The sequence below is a fragment of the Homo sapiens genome, chromosome 12 (genome assembly GCF_000001405.40).
Source record: "Homo sapiens chromosome 12, GRCh38.p14 Primary Assembly".
Classification (NCBI taxonomy): domain Eukaryota; kingdom Metazoa; phylum Chordata; class Mammalia; order Primates; family Hominidae; genus Homo; species Homo sapiens.
Genome location: NC_000012.12, coordinates 19,183,275 through 19,198,227, shown reverse-complemented (window position 1 = coordinate 19,198,227; position 14,953 = coordinate 19,183,275). Strand labels below are relative to the sequence as shown.

The window sequence follows — 14,953 nt, the reverse complement described above, 5'->3', positions numbered from 1 at the left end:
AACTTTGGATTTTATTCTAAGTGCTATGGAAAGCCACTGGAAGACATTGACAAGATCTGAATTACATTTTTATATTTTAAGAAAATGAATCTAGCTAGTGTGGAGAATGGATTGTAAAGGGTCAAGAGCGGAGAAGCAGGGGAAAAGCAAAGAGGCTGCCACAGTTGTCTGAGTGAAAGATGATGGTGGCAAAGACGAGAGGTGTGGCAGAGATGGAGAGAAGTGAGCAGATTTGGGATACGTTTTGGAGGGGAGGAAGTGTCAACAGGGCTCACTGATGACAGACTGGAGGGGAGGTGGGGTGATGTTAACTGAAGGAAAGAGAAAAATTGAGAATGGCTGCAAGGCAGCAAAGTTGTTTTCTCTGACTGTATATTAGACACTATATGAAGAGGTCAGTGAATGTGGAGATGAGGAAAGAGGTGGAGATGAAGATTTATGGCTGACTGGCATACGGTGTAAAAAGAGCCTTGGAAGTGAACGAGGCGACTTAAACACACACACACACACACACACACACACACACACACACACACACACACACACACACAGCACCGGATAGACTCTGTGACTTCAACAATGCCAACTGTGTGCCTAGTCCTATGCTCGGTGTATCTTTGGGAAAAACAGATCTTTGTCTTCAGGGAGCTTCTATCAGAGAAGACAAGTGCAAACACAATAAACGATGTAGTACATTAGAAAGTGGTAAGTGCTATGAAAGAAAAAGCAGAGTGTGGCTCAGGAGTGTGGTTACCGTAGTGAAATTAAAGAGGAGTCAGGATAAGCATCATTCAAAAGGTGAGACGTGAGCAAAAAGGGAACAAAAAGACAGGCAGAGGAAAAGGTCAGTGTTAAGACCCTGAGGCAGGAATACATAACATTTTCCAAAATAAGTATTGGTGACATATTTGAAAAATAGCCAGAACAGTATGAGAGACTGGTCTGAATGGGAGACCAGCAGGATTGCAGCAGTGAGAAAAGGGCCAGAAAAGGAATGGTCATGAAAGCAGCATGAAACCCAGAAGGGTATGATGTCATAGAAGTCAGGAGAAAAGGGTGTTAAGGCTCAACGATGCTGAACGCTGCCAGGAAGTGAAGTAAGATCTGAACAGAGAGGTCCCTAGTGTTGGAAGTGCAGTGTGGAGTCAGTGGGGAAGAGAGCTACCTCTACAGAAGGGCAGGGGAGGAAGTACAGATGGCAGGAGGTATATTCACTTCTAAAGGTAATAGGACAGGTTGGCTCTTGGGATTTAACTAAATTCTTACTCTATCACAGCCAGTGAACAGGATTTGAAAATTTTAATTATGTCAACATGGTCAATCAGTGCTGGAATCCAAAAAACTCATTTTATTTTCTCATTCAATTATAAACCATGAAAAGAAAAATCACTATTTCTCTAAAAAAAAAAAAAAAAGAAAAAAAAAAGAAAAAACAAGTTAAAAACTCATAAGCCAGAGTAGCAGCTTTGGCAGCAACACGATAGCAGCCACCATTTATTGAGATCCACTCTGGGTGTTGTGGATACATTAATAATCTTTTGTTTGTACAGGAATATTGTCACAGAGGTTTTACTATTCATACTGTGTATGAGGAAAGGTAAAACAGGGTTTCTCTGCTAGGAAATGGCAGGAAGGGATTAGAAGGAGCTTATGCTTTTTCTACTTTGCCAGTGTCCCTCTTTTATTCACACCTGCTCAGAACAAGAGATCACATAGGGGTAGGTTTTCTTCTTGCTTTGTAAGAGACACTCTTGCTAGCTAGATATGATATTTTTTATTCTTTATAACACCAGGAATTATGTTAGTTACCTTAATGCTCTATTGGAAAAATTACAAATTACTTGTTGACAGTTTGTGGTTCAAATTTTTTCACTATATGCATTTAACAATATACAAGATTTTACAGTCTAAAGACCTATGAAAAATCTACTATTAAATTGTCTTTATGTGTTAATTGAAAACATTTGATTGAAATAGTTAATCCTTAAAAAATGCTTAATCAGTACTGACATATAAAATATAATCTTTGTTGACAACTGAGAAAGGAAGATGATAGATTTTTCAAAAAGTTTAGAAAAGACTCATGAGAGCTCACATTGTAGAAATAAAATATTATTCAAGAAATCAGACTCAATAAAATACTGTTCAATGTCATGGAAAAAAACATAACTATTGCTTTTTGAAAATTGAAACTAGATACACTTCAATCATCTCAATTAGTGTAGGTAAGGCAAACACCAGATGCTCATTAAACAAAGTTATTTAATTGCAACAAAGAGAAAGATGCCAAAGTAAACAGAATAGTCAATAGAGAATGGCTTCACAAATTGAAGTTCATCTGTAGTATGGAACACATCATGCAGCTGTCAAAAATAATAGGTAGAAGTGTGTGCACTGCCATGGAAGATATCTATGATATACATACATTATTTTTGTATGTATGTGTATATATATATATCTCATAGATATATACCTAAAAGGCAGGTAACCGAATGGTATATGTTAATAGCCTAAATACAGGCTACTTTCACTTTTTTTTTTTTTTTTTTTTTTTTGAGACAGGGTCTCTCTCTCTCACCCAGGCTGGAGTGCAATGGCGCAATCTCAGCGCACTGCTGCAGCTTCCACCTCCTGGGCTCAATCAATCTTCCCACCTCAGCCCTCAGAGTAGCTGAGACTACAGGTGTGTGCCAGCACGCCCGGCTAAATTTTTGTATTTTTTTGTAGAGACAGGGTTTCACCATGTTGCCCAGGCTGGTCTCGAACTCTGGACTCAAGTGATCTGCCTGCCTTGGCCTTCCAAAGTGCTAGGATTACAGGGATGAGCTATCACTCACCCGTACTTTATATCCTTTTGTGCTATATCAATTGTTCTGATAAGCATGTATTAGTTATGTAATTAACAATTAAAAAGAAAGAAAAGAAATGGGGGGAAAAAGGGGTTGTGGGAGGAAGGGAAAGGAAATAAAAAGGGAAATAACAGGAGCCAGGAATAAGATGACAGGCACATGTGCTAGCAGTGTGGTATGGAGAGATCTGGAGTGTGATGGTTCAGGTTCAAGTCCTAGTCCTGTTACTAACTTTGCGCAAGTTGAACTCCAAGGTTCAGAGGTTTCGTTTACTGAATAGTCTTACTACGGTAAGACTATTTCTCACCCTACAGAATTATTGTGAACATTACCATGAGAACATTTTTGAAATGTGACAAACACAGTGTCTGGTACAGTATAAATGCCCAATAGACGGTAGCTATTTTATGTTTTGAAATTAAAATGCTAAAGAAAACAGCTTTACCTATAATTTGATTTTTATACCTTAAAGTATATTTGATATAAACCCTTTTCATTAGTTTTAATAAGTAGGTATTAATGATGATCACAAAGCCAATTCAGTAGAATATATGCTGGTGGTACTACTAGAAATGTATTTCATCTGAGATTTCCAATTCCAGCTTTGCAAGTCCCTAGAGCACTTGTCCTTGTTCATACAACTTTGAATCCTAAAATCTGTGCCTCTTATGCAGAAATTTCAATATTCAATTTGTCTGTATAATGAAACTTGTAAATACCTGTACCCCTTGAAGTCATTCTGCAGTAGAGAGGTAAAAGGGGGATACTAATGAGGGGCATTTCTCCAGACCATTCTTTCATATTTAAAAAAATCACTTGGTAGGGATGTAAATTTGTACAACCTCTATGGAAATCAGTATGAAGATTTCTCAATAAACCAGAAATAGAACTACCAGGTGATCTAGCAATCCCACTACTGGATATCTACCCAAAGGAAAAGAATTCATTATATCATAAAGATACATGCACTTGTATGTTTATTGTAGCACCATTCACAATAGCAAAGATACGGAATCAATCTAACTGTCCATCAGTGGAGGACTGGATAAAGTAAATGTGCATATACACAGTGGAATACTATTCGGCCATGAAAAAATAATAAAATCATTTCTTTCGCAGCAACATGGATGGAACTGAAGGTCATTATCTTAAGTGAAACAACTCAGACACAGGAAAGATAAATACTGCAGCTCTCACTTATAAGTGGGAACTAAATAACGTGTACACATGGAAGCAGAGTATGGAATGAAGGACAATGGCGACTGACATGATTTGGATATTTGTTCTGCCCCAGTCTCATGCTGAAATGCAATCCCCAATGTTGGAGGTGAGGCCTGGTGGGAGGTGTTTGGGTCATGGCGGTGGATCCCTCATGGCTTGGTGCTGTAGTAGCAATACTGAGTGAGTTCTCATGAGATCTGGTTGTTAAAAGTGTGAGGCACCTCTCTCCCTACCATTCTTTCTTTTAAAGCTCCTGCTCTGGCTCTGTGACATGCCTGCTCCCACTTTCCCTTCTGCCATAAGTAAAAGCTCCCCAAGGCCTCCCCAGAAGCAGAGTAAATGCCAGCACCATCCTTGCACAGCCTTGCAGAACCATGAGCCAATTAAATTTCTTTTCTTTATAAATTATCCAGCCTCAGATATTTCTTTATAGCAATGCAAGAATGGCCTAATACAGGGACTCAGAGGGATGGGAGGGTAGGAGAAGGGTGGATGATAGGAGGTTGCTTCGTAGGTACGATGTGCTGGGAGGCTCTCTGGTAGGTACAACGTGCATTGCTCCAGTGATAGATGCACACTGAAGGCCCTGATTTTACCACAATGCAATATATATCAATGTAGTAAAACTGCACTTGTACCCTATGATTATATACAAATTAAAAAAATCAAAACTCTAAATCAGAATAAACGTCCAAGTATAAAATTCATATCTAACTTTCCATTTGAAGTAAGAAATTGATTAAAAATTTAAACTGCCTTCTCACAAGAACCTAATTTAACCAACATTATTTGCTTTTAAAATATTGGCTTCATGTGTTCCCAACATGGGGTCTACTGAAAGCTCATAAATTATCTTAATAAACAAAGTCTTACCTAATGAAGCATCATTCTTGTGAATCTTACTATATTCTGCCCCTCTTCTAAGTATTAAGACTTTCCTTCTTAAAAAATCAAAACCACATTAACATTGCACCCTCTTATGTTTAAAGTTGACTCACATGCTACTGTCCTTGGATTTATGCACCTCATAAACACTCCAAAACCTAATCTACAATGTAAAAGTCTAAAATCTGAAACAGGGGTCAACAAATTTATTCTGTACAGGACCAGATAGTAAATATTTCAGGCCTTGTGGACCCAACAGTCTGTCAAAACTATCAACTTTGCTATAGTGAGAAAGTAGCCATAGACATTACATAAATGAGTATGGCTGCATTCCAACAAAGCTTTATTTACAAAAACAGGCAGCAGGCTGGATTTGGTCCACAGCCACAGTTACTAACCCCTAATCGAAAGTATTAGTTAAGTAGAATGTCTATGATAGTCTCATCACTCCTTAAAAGCTTAGTACCACATGCCTCTGATCAATTATTTACTAGATCAATTTCACTTATTAATGATTAGGTTTACTAATTTTAGTAAGAATAAATTCTTTTCTTTTTTATTTTTTGAGACATAGGGTCTGACTCTGTGGCCCACGCTGCACTGCAGAGGTGCCATCTGGGCTCAATGAAACCGCTTCCACCTCCCAGGTTCAAGCAATTCTCCTGCCTCAGCCACCCGAGTGGCTGGGACTAGAGGCGAATGCCACCACGCCCGGCTAAATTTTTTTTGTATTTTGAGTAGAGACGGGGTTTCAACCATGTTGGCCAGGCTGGTCTTGAACTCCTGACTTCAAGTGATCTGCCCGCCTCGGCCTCCCAAAGTGCTGGGATTATAGGTGTGAGCCACTGTGCCAGGCCAAGAGTAAATTATTTTCTATTCTTATAATTTCATTAGGGTTCTCCTTAATATTTAATTTTTCATAATTCCACATTTCATTAACTAAAGTGAACTTAATCAGTCTTTCCTCATGAATCTCATTTTCTAAAATTTGTCCTTTTTACACCTTTGACTTCTCTCCAAGTTTCCTATGAAAAGTAGAAATGTCAGCACTTCTCTGTAATTAACTGCTTTTATAAAATTGAAAAATAAAGCAAGCATTTACATGTTTACTTTTTCCTTCATTAAAATTAAAAATAAAAATACTAAAATTTTTTTTAAATTCAAGTCAATTGTTAATAAAGATATCCTTTTAAAGTATGGTAGCAAGCCTCTAAGATGACCCTCAGTGATCCCCAGCCTATACACGGACTATACAAGGGTATACACACCTTTGTATAGTCCCCTCCTGCAATGAATCAAGGCTGGCCTTTTTCACCAATAAAATATGACAAAAGTGACACCCAAAGCTAAGTCATAATGGCAGTGCGGCTTCTACCTTACTCTCTTAGGCTTGGTCACTATGGACAAAGCCAACCACCATGTCATGGGTCACGCAGCCTTATGCAGAGAAACCAACTACCCACCATCAACTTGCCAGACACGTGATCCTCCAGCATGAGCTTTCAAGCTTGCAGAGACTAAAGCCTTAAGCTCATAAGGCTCATCCAACCTCGTAAGAGAACCTGAGCCAGAACTACCCAACCAAGCAGCTTGAGAATTCCTGACTCACAGGAACAGGGAATGTTAATAAATGATTATTGCATTATGTTTAGAGGTGATTTGAGAAAACAGCTGATATACCTGTATCTAATTAGGTTACAACGTATCTTATTTTGTATAACTGAATATTTTGGTTCTTGGCAGCAGCAGTTGAAAAACAATCATCTGTACTGCAATAAGATGAGTTTAGGGGACAAGACTGACAACAACAACAACCAATTAGGCCGCATGGTAGTGATGGATGCTAGGCTGTTCATTCAACAACACTCAACATTAACTCAAAGCATTCAGTGTGGGAAGCTGTGTGTCAGGGTATTAAAGTATTAACAGTTTGATTTCTACATACTGGTCTATGACCCACAGTTACATGCAAGAAATAATCCCTACTTCACTCCCATTCTTGCCCATGTAAATCTCACTGTTTCACAGGGCACTGTGTTTTTAAATCTTGGTCTGACCCATTAGTAGATAATGAAATGCAGTTAACAGGATGTTTGCTACCAGTACTTTAAAATAACAAAACAGAAGAGAAGGTATAGGTGGTAAAGGGAAGAAAGTATTTTCATTTTAGTATTATATAAAGTGGACAGTGGGTCATCCAATAATATTTATTTCTTATTGCGAGTCATGGTCAAAAAAAATTAAAATAAATGACATAAAATACCAAATATGTTTACATCATAGGAAACTAATTAGTCACCACACTCGTCCAGTTAGCTGCCAGCTCATGTTCCTTTTCCAACTTCTCTTTTGCATGCCCTTTAAATAGCTAGGCTTCACTGCTCATTTTGTTTTCACACTGATATTTTTAAATTCCTGTGAAAATTGGCTCTGGCTCAGTTGCTTTTTTCCTAATCTCAGTTCTGCTTATCTTGAGAGGGCTGAGAATAGGAAAGTCTCTTCTCCTTTGGGACAACCCATTTAAAACACACCTAATAGTTGTCTCACAAGAGTAAGGCAAGCAAAAAGAGGAAGATCAGATAGGGAACTTGCAATAACACTGAGATAACTGAAATTTCTGGCTAAATGAATCATCTTCAGTTCTCCAACATGCTAGAAATGATTAGATATGCTGGGCTTTCAAGGTTAATTTTTAAGTCTAGAATGTCCAAGCAATAACTATATTTCCTACTAAGACTTTTAGATTGTTATCACTCATGCGCAGCATGTAAAGCTCTCTGATTTCATGATGAGGGCCACACATGTAGTACACATCTTGAATGCAATCAGTTATCTCTCAGCCTTCTCTCTTGCAGCACCTGGCACAGTGCTTTGCATTAACCTGAATAAATGAGTATTTTTTAAAAGAAATTATTTGGGGAATTGAAAGACCAAAAAAGGAAATATTTATCCAACTGATAATTCATTTACTTGTTTGCAATGCTTCAAGAGAAAGGCATTATTATCCATAAGGAAGTTTTCCTAGCTTTAAACCAGTATTTCTATCCCTGAAAATATAATTACCAGTAAATATAACAAAATATTTCCTAAAACTTTTTAACAAGATAAAGGAGGATTTCAAGATTGGGTTTTTTCTTTCAAAAGGTGAAGTGAAGCTGACACTAAGAGTAAGAGTTCAAAGAGTAAGACTCAGCTGAATAATAACTTTTAAAATATACGACACAAGGAGGAAATGAAGAAGCGCACGTTGTAAGCAGATTTTAACAATTAATAAAGAAACAAATTAATGTCTTTGGAAAAGCACAGAAAAGCAAGTAACCAAATTCCACTAGAATGAGATCAAGAATAGAAAGTGGGGGCATTAAATCACAAAAGCTCTAATGAAAGGAAAATTCTGGCTGTTCTCAAAAGAGCCCTTTTCTAAGCAACATTCTCATTTTTATTAGTTTTTCAGAAAGGAGTTATTTATGTCAATAAAATTTTAGCAGTTATGTCACCCTAGTCCTTATCATTGGTCTACACAAGACTTGAGAGCAGTCTGTTTAATGGTCTGAATAGCATGAATATGTTGATATGAGTCAAATTTATTTTCCTAACCCATTCCTGAGTTGCAGACTGGTATACCAAACTTCCTGCCTGAAATTTCCATTGGCTTTCCCACAACCATCTCAAACTTAACCTACCAAAAACGAATCTCTTGTTGATCTCCCACCTTCAATCCACAACTCCTCCCTGACCCCCTGCCCTTTCCCCCAAAAGAACAAATATTTTTTCCCATTTCTAAGCATGAACTCTCCACTCAGCTGCATGAATCACAGGGCTGCAATTTATTCCTCTCTTCTAACCCAAGAAATCCTATGTAGTCTATCTGCAAAATCTCCACTTCAAATGGTCTACCTTCCTCCATCTCTGCTGACACTTTCTTCATCTATTTACCATCTTTCTTCATTTAGACAAACGCAATAGCTTCTTAACTATTCTCCTTGTTTCTACTCTAATTCTCACATCATTTAATTCTCCAAAAACTGCCAAGACTTCAATGAAGCTACTTGGTCCTGCACAGTGTGGCCCCGGTCCCCCTCACCAGCCATGGCTAGGGGACCCCATCTTGCTTGCCTAGTTCCAGGCACACTGGGTTCTTTTAGACCCTGTGAGTGTCTTCAGCCTAGAAGATTCTTCTCTGGTAAACTAAATATATGTCCAGTCTCAGGTTCAACCCATTTAAACACACTTTATTGACCTGTGTAAAAACTTGACTAATGTCTATCTTTGCTCTATGTTGACAGCTGCAAGAATTCAGGGACAGTGCCTGTTTTATTCATCACTGTAACCCCAAAAGTTACCAGAGGTCTTGGTGTATAATAAAAGCTCAGTAAACATTGGTCATTGAAAGGCTTTCTTTTACATCGAATCCCATTTACCATTAAGTATATATAATGCCTTTACACATAAATTATAAATGCAAACAGACAATGACAAGGTAAAATAAAAAATGAATTTAATTTGAAAAAGGAATAGAATCTAAATCAACATAATATGTATTATAAATCTGTTCTTTTGTCTTTAGGGATTACAAGTTTATTAATACAGTACTTTCATAAGTTGAATCTGCAAAATAAGACCTTAAAGGTAAACAAGCATCATGGTCTGATACAGTTATTCCGTTGAAATATTTACTCTAAGTTGGCCATTGCCAGAAGCATCAATAAAATTTCAGAACCAGAAACATCATTTCTAATCTAATATGATTGAAATCTTTATATGAAAGACAGATTAATGAAATTTTAATGTTTTAAATTCTTATCTTCCTATATTTTTCTTTCTCATACATTCATTACACTAGAAGTATAATTTTTGTCTTTTCAAAGTGAAAATAACATGCTGATCTGAAAACAGATTTTATTTATGAAAAAAATGTATTAAGGTAGGATGAAAGAAAGAGGAGGGAAATAACAATTTTGGGGGAAGGTAGGAGCAGAGAGGATTGGTAACTTTAAATTGCCTCTCTAATTCTACTTCAAAGTCCTTATGTCCTTAATGTTAAAGTAAAATTCTAGTCTGGACACTTCTTTACACTCAACTCTATTTGTACCTGCTCTTGACAACCTAGTAATGTTCAAACCTGCATATGTGTGAAGTGGCCACACTTTCCTTACCACCCAATTGACTTCATTTTTTTCTATTTTTCATAATGACCTTGATGAGAATGGCAATGTTCTGACAGGTGGCAGACCAAAAATGGTTTTCATTGCTTGAAGAAAAAAACACAAATATGTAAGTAATTTGTCAAAGAATCTTAGCAAACAAGTAGTCGTTTCTGTGAAGCTTGGTCAGCCACCACTTACTAGGCACTCTATCAGAAGAAATGTTTCTCACCCAACTGGGAAAGAAACATAAATTGAAACAGATCACATTTAAAAAATATTAAAATGGTCTAGTTTCATTTTCATAAAAATATGTTCTTGTATGTTACCTTTATGGGTTCTACACCTCAGTAAGGTAGAGACACTCATTCATCTCAATTACCATTCTTTTCCTACTTCTCTAAGTGTTCCATTTAAAATCATCAGATAGGAATACAGAACTTATCTATATTCTGGTCCCCTTCCACACTAAAAAGATCTGACTTTTATATCCAGTAGGATATTGCAGAAATGGCAAAACTTGACCTCTGAGCTAGGTCACTGAAGCCCTTGTGGCTTCTCTTTGCTTTCTCTTGCATCACTAACTAGGGGTAAAGCCAAGCACCATGACTGACGAACTGAAGCCACCTGCTAACAACCTGGATCAACCTGGAAACAGTTCCTCTAGCCCCAGACAAGCCTGCATCTTAACTGTAATTAAGACTAACATCTTAACTATAATCTCCTAAGAGAACCTGAGCCAGAACCACCCAGCTAAGTCACTTACATAATTCCTGACTCACAGAAACTGAGATATTAAATACTTACTGTTGACTAAGACACAATATTTCCTCAGTTTTCATTCACCATGTGTACTACCAATTAAGTTCAGTGTATCTAGAAATTTTAGATTTAGATAGGAAAACACTTTGCAATCCAAACCTGGAGTGCAAAAAGTCAGATCTAGACATAGCAAAAGCGGGCTTTTGGAACTTCATTTGTAAGACCTCACATATGTTAACTTGTTTCTAATGGCCAGAATGCTACTAGACAAGGCACTTTAGAGTACTGATAAAGACATTCATATAGAAGATGCTCATTACATGCTTGATACATCAGTGAACCAATAAATGCAGGTGGAATAAAAGAAACTATAATGCCATAGGTGGTTAGAGTCATAGGACACACATCTTTGTAATTACTTATTTACAACATCTCTTTCAACCACCAGAGGGCAGAAACAGCATATTGTTATTCCTCGACCTTCTGATTTAACAAAGCATTTAGAAGGAATAAAATATAAATTCTGCCCAAAGAGAAAGGAATGTTTCTTAATAAATAGGAAGCTATTAAATTCTGCATACAATGCCCAAAAAAGCTTATAGATGAAAGCTCAGTTAGAATATAGGACTTCAAGGGGTGGATACGAACCATAAATGGTATTCTAAAAAAGGAAGAAAGCAAAAAACAAGAGGTTGAGAGCTTTGGGTCAGTTTCAAAAAAACATGACCAGAGGGAATGTAGACTGGACTCAATTTCAATCTAAACTTTTTACTCTTACTCCATTTCTTCTAGCTACTAATTAGAAAGTAGTTGGCATTATTCTATAGAAGAAAGTAAATTTGGTATACTAAATTCGAGCTTATTTTCAGTTATTCACGTTATTACCATCCAACTTTCTTGTTCTATTTCATCAAAACGAACATCATTGTGAACCTGCCAGGAGCTACATCTACTGCCAAGTGCAGTGACCAGAAAGAAACAATCACCCTCACTGTGGCCAACCTAACTTAGAACTATTATCTGACTGCAGATGTGACAATGTCCTTTGATATTTTATTATATATCAAGTACTTCCCAACTGCTCTGTTATTTTTAATGGTACCACCCATCAAACAGTTTATTGAATTATATTTCTATATATCGTCATTTTCTACTGAACTGAAAGCTTACTCCTAACAAAATTAGCACAGCCATTTTCCTTTTTTCTTCAAGTTACCTAACTAAGCTAGAGCCAGGGACAACTAGCCTTATTATTAGTATTTTATGGGACCTCTGGCAAATTACGTTGTATCTATGGGTTTATGGTCTGAGTCCTAAGACATGTATGTGGTTGGCAAGTATATTTATAAGCCTAGAGAGACAGATAACAAATGAAATGCAATCCAAATATTTCACAAAGGATATTCTTATGAAAGAGACTGAAGAAGATAAATGTGTTAATTCTTGATTAATCCAAAAGGCATTAATAAAAATATCCCATCCCCTCAACTACAATAAATAACAAGATTTTATATGTATGTGTGTGTTATTAATTAGTTAATGGCTATCCTTGGAACAACTTGATCTTCATTACTTTTTGTTTCATTGGGCCCCTACAGATATGGAGACTCCCGAATCATTTGCATTCTTTAAGATATGTTAAGTACACAGGCATTCTTCATGGGAATGGGACTCTTCCAGCCTCAAATAACAGAAAATCCAATTCAAATTAGCTTAAACAAAAGGAGGGAATGTATTGGTTCAATTAATTTAAAAGTTCAGGAGTAGATTCAGGAATGGCTAGATCCAGAGACTCAACTAATATGATAAAGTGTGTATCTATCTGTCTCCGTTCTTTACCTCCTACTCTTCTCTCTCCTCCTCCCAGGCCATCCCTACCCCTCCTCTCTCTGTCTTTCTCTCTGTTATTGCCCCATGAGGACAGCTCTAGGCTGACATCTTTACAGCTTCAAATCCAACATAAGACATTCTCGTTCTCCAGAGCTTAAGGAAAGTCCCAGGATCTAGTATTACTGGTCCAGCTTACATAATGTGCACACCCTGGTCAATGACAGGATCAGGAGGTATGGAACAAATACTGACCAGACCTGAGTATAATAACAAGTACTGAATAAGGAGTTTTTCTCCAAGGTAAATGTGAGTTAGATTCTCAGAAGAAACAGAGGATGGACAGGGCACAAAAGAAATGTACGCCATCTCTGTATCACAGTTTCAAAGAGGTCCATTAATCTCCTCTCCAAAGTGAAGAACCAATGTTAAAAGAAAAAAAAAAAAGGTATAGAGAAGAAGTACATTTCTAAAATGTCGATTTAAATCTAACCCTGCACTATATTGCTCACAAGTAACTGATACCTTAATCAAATACAGTGCCTTACTCTGCTTCCTCAACTTGTAAGCACTGCATTTGCCTCCACCGACTATATAACAATCACTTCTTGAAGTACTGTTTTGTCTTCTGACTGTGGCTTCCAGGACCTGCATTAGCGGAGTTCTACCTCTCTGATTTTTATAGGTATTCCCCAGTGTCCTCTCCTCTTTTTCTATCTTATCACTTCTATTCAAGTAACTCTCAAATATTCATTTCCAGGCTAAAAATTCTTTGAAAAATTCCATTCCCGCATTTTTAAAAACCAAATGTAGATCTCAAAACCTATAGCCACACCCAAAATATTCAAAACAAACATCACTTATTCTCTTCAACAAAATTAGCCTTTCCTACCTCTCAATCTATCTGTGAAATGATCTGATCATTCAGACATTCTGTCTTCCATGAAGACTTCCTTCCCCTCTCTCTTCACAAGACAGGGGTATGCTTTCACAGCACCCTACTCACCGGCACAGTACTTATCCCATTTCATTGTGATGACTAGCTTACTTACTGAGCTCTTACACGAGAATATAAACTCACTAGCAAGGGCATAGCTGTATCTCACATGTACATCCTACATCCAAGTACAAATAGCCAGTACATAAAAAGTCCCCAGCAAATGTTTAATGAGAAAGGGGCAGAGGGATTCATTTTTATTAAAGATCTGTCAGCCATAAAACCAGATTTTTGGGGGTTTACTATTCAAATAGACTATGGCTTGATAAATAAGGTCTAGGCAACAAGACTGCTACCAAAATTTATACAGCAAAAAGTCAGGGAATAGAATGAAAATTTAAAAATCACTACTTTCTTCTTATCTTTTTCATAGCCATTCCCCGAGGATTTTTAAAATTACTTTTAAAATAATAATAATAGATATTAAACACTAGGAAACTTTGTTCCTCCAAAGGACTAAAAACAACAGTCCATCCATAGGCACCAGACGTGGTTTCTGTAGAGGCCTTAACAAATTTTTCCTTATAAGACCAGGCACAGTGGCTCATGCCTGTAATCCCAGCACTTTGGGAGGCTAAGGCAGGTGGATAATCTGAGGTCAGGAGTTCGAGACCAGCCTGGCCAACATGGTGAAACCCTGTCTCTACAAAAAAACACAAAAATTAGCTGGGCGTGGTGGTGCACACCTGTAGTCCCACCTACTCGGGAGGCTGAGGCAGGAGAATCGTTTGAACCTGGCAGGCAGAGGGTGCGGTGAGCCAAGATCACGCCACTGTGCTCCAGCCTGGGCAATAGAGCAAGACTCCATCTCAAAAAATAAAAAAAGAAAGAAAATAAAAAAATTTTCCCTTGTAAGTATCAAGCAATCCAGCTGCTGTTCCTTGAAACACCAAGAGATGGCCTTTTGGGGCAGAGCAGACTGAGAACAACTAACTCAATCATTGAAACCCAAACCACTTGCTTCTCAGTGACATGCCTCTTAACATTAAAGTGTCGTTACAATCTGAATTTTGGTTTGAGAAATTCATTATTATCGGTTTCTGTGACACTAAACATACTACTTAATATTCTACATTTTCTCACCTGTAAAATGATAATACTAATAATTATCCCACAGGGTTGTTGATAATAAGTGAACATGTAGGAAAAGTACCTAAAGCACATTTGGTGCTCATGAAAGAGAATATGATAACAGTGGCTCTCTGGCACTCAGAGGAAACTAAGGTTTGCTGGCTTCACTAAGCTGACACCTCTTTCCAGAGTCAGCT

General features: G+C 37.4%; 1 protein-coding gene across 41 annotated transcripts in view, besides 1 other annotated feature; it reads right to left on the bottom strand.

Moving 5' to 3' along the window:
• Window positions 1-14,953, bottom strand: part of PLEKHA5 (pleckstrin homology domain containing A5) — a 246,668-nt gene that overhangs the window by 178,173 nt on the left and 53,542 nt on the right. The window lies entirely within an intron of this gene.
• Window positions 179-679: an enhancer, noted in NCBI's record as "H3K27ac hESC enhancer chr12:19350483-19350983 (GRCh37/hg19 assembly coordinates)". NCBI's record gives its function as "activates a minimal SCP1, AML or CMV promoter by ChIP-STARR-seq in naive H9 embryonic stem cells {active_cell/tissue: H9 hESC(naive)}" and the evidence as "EXISTENCE:reporter gene assay evidence [ECO:0000049][PMID:30033119]".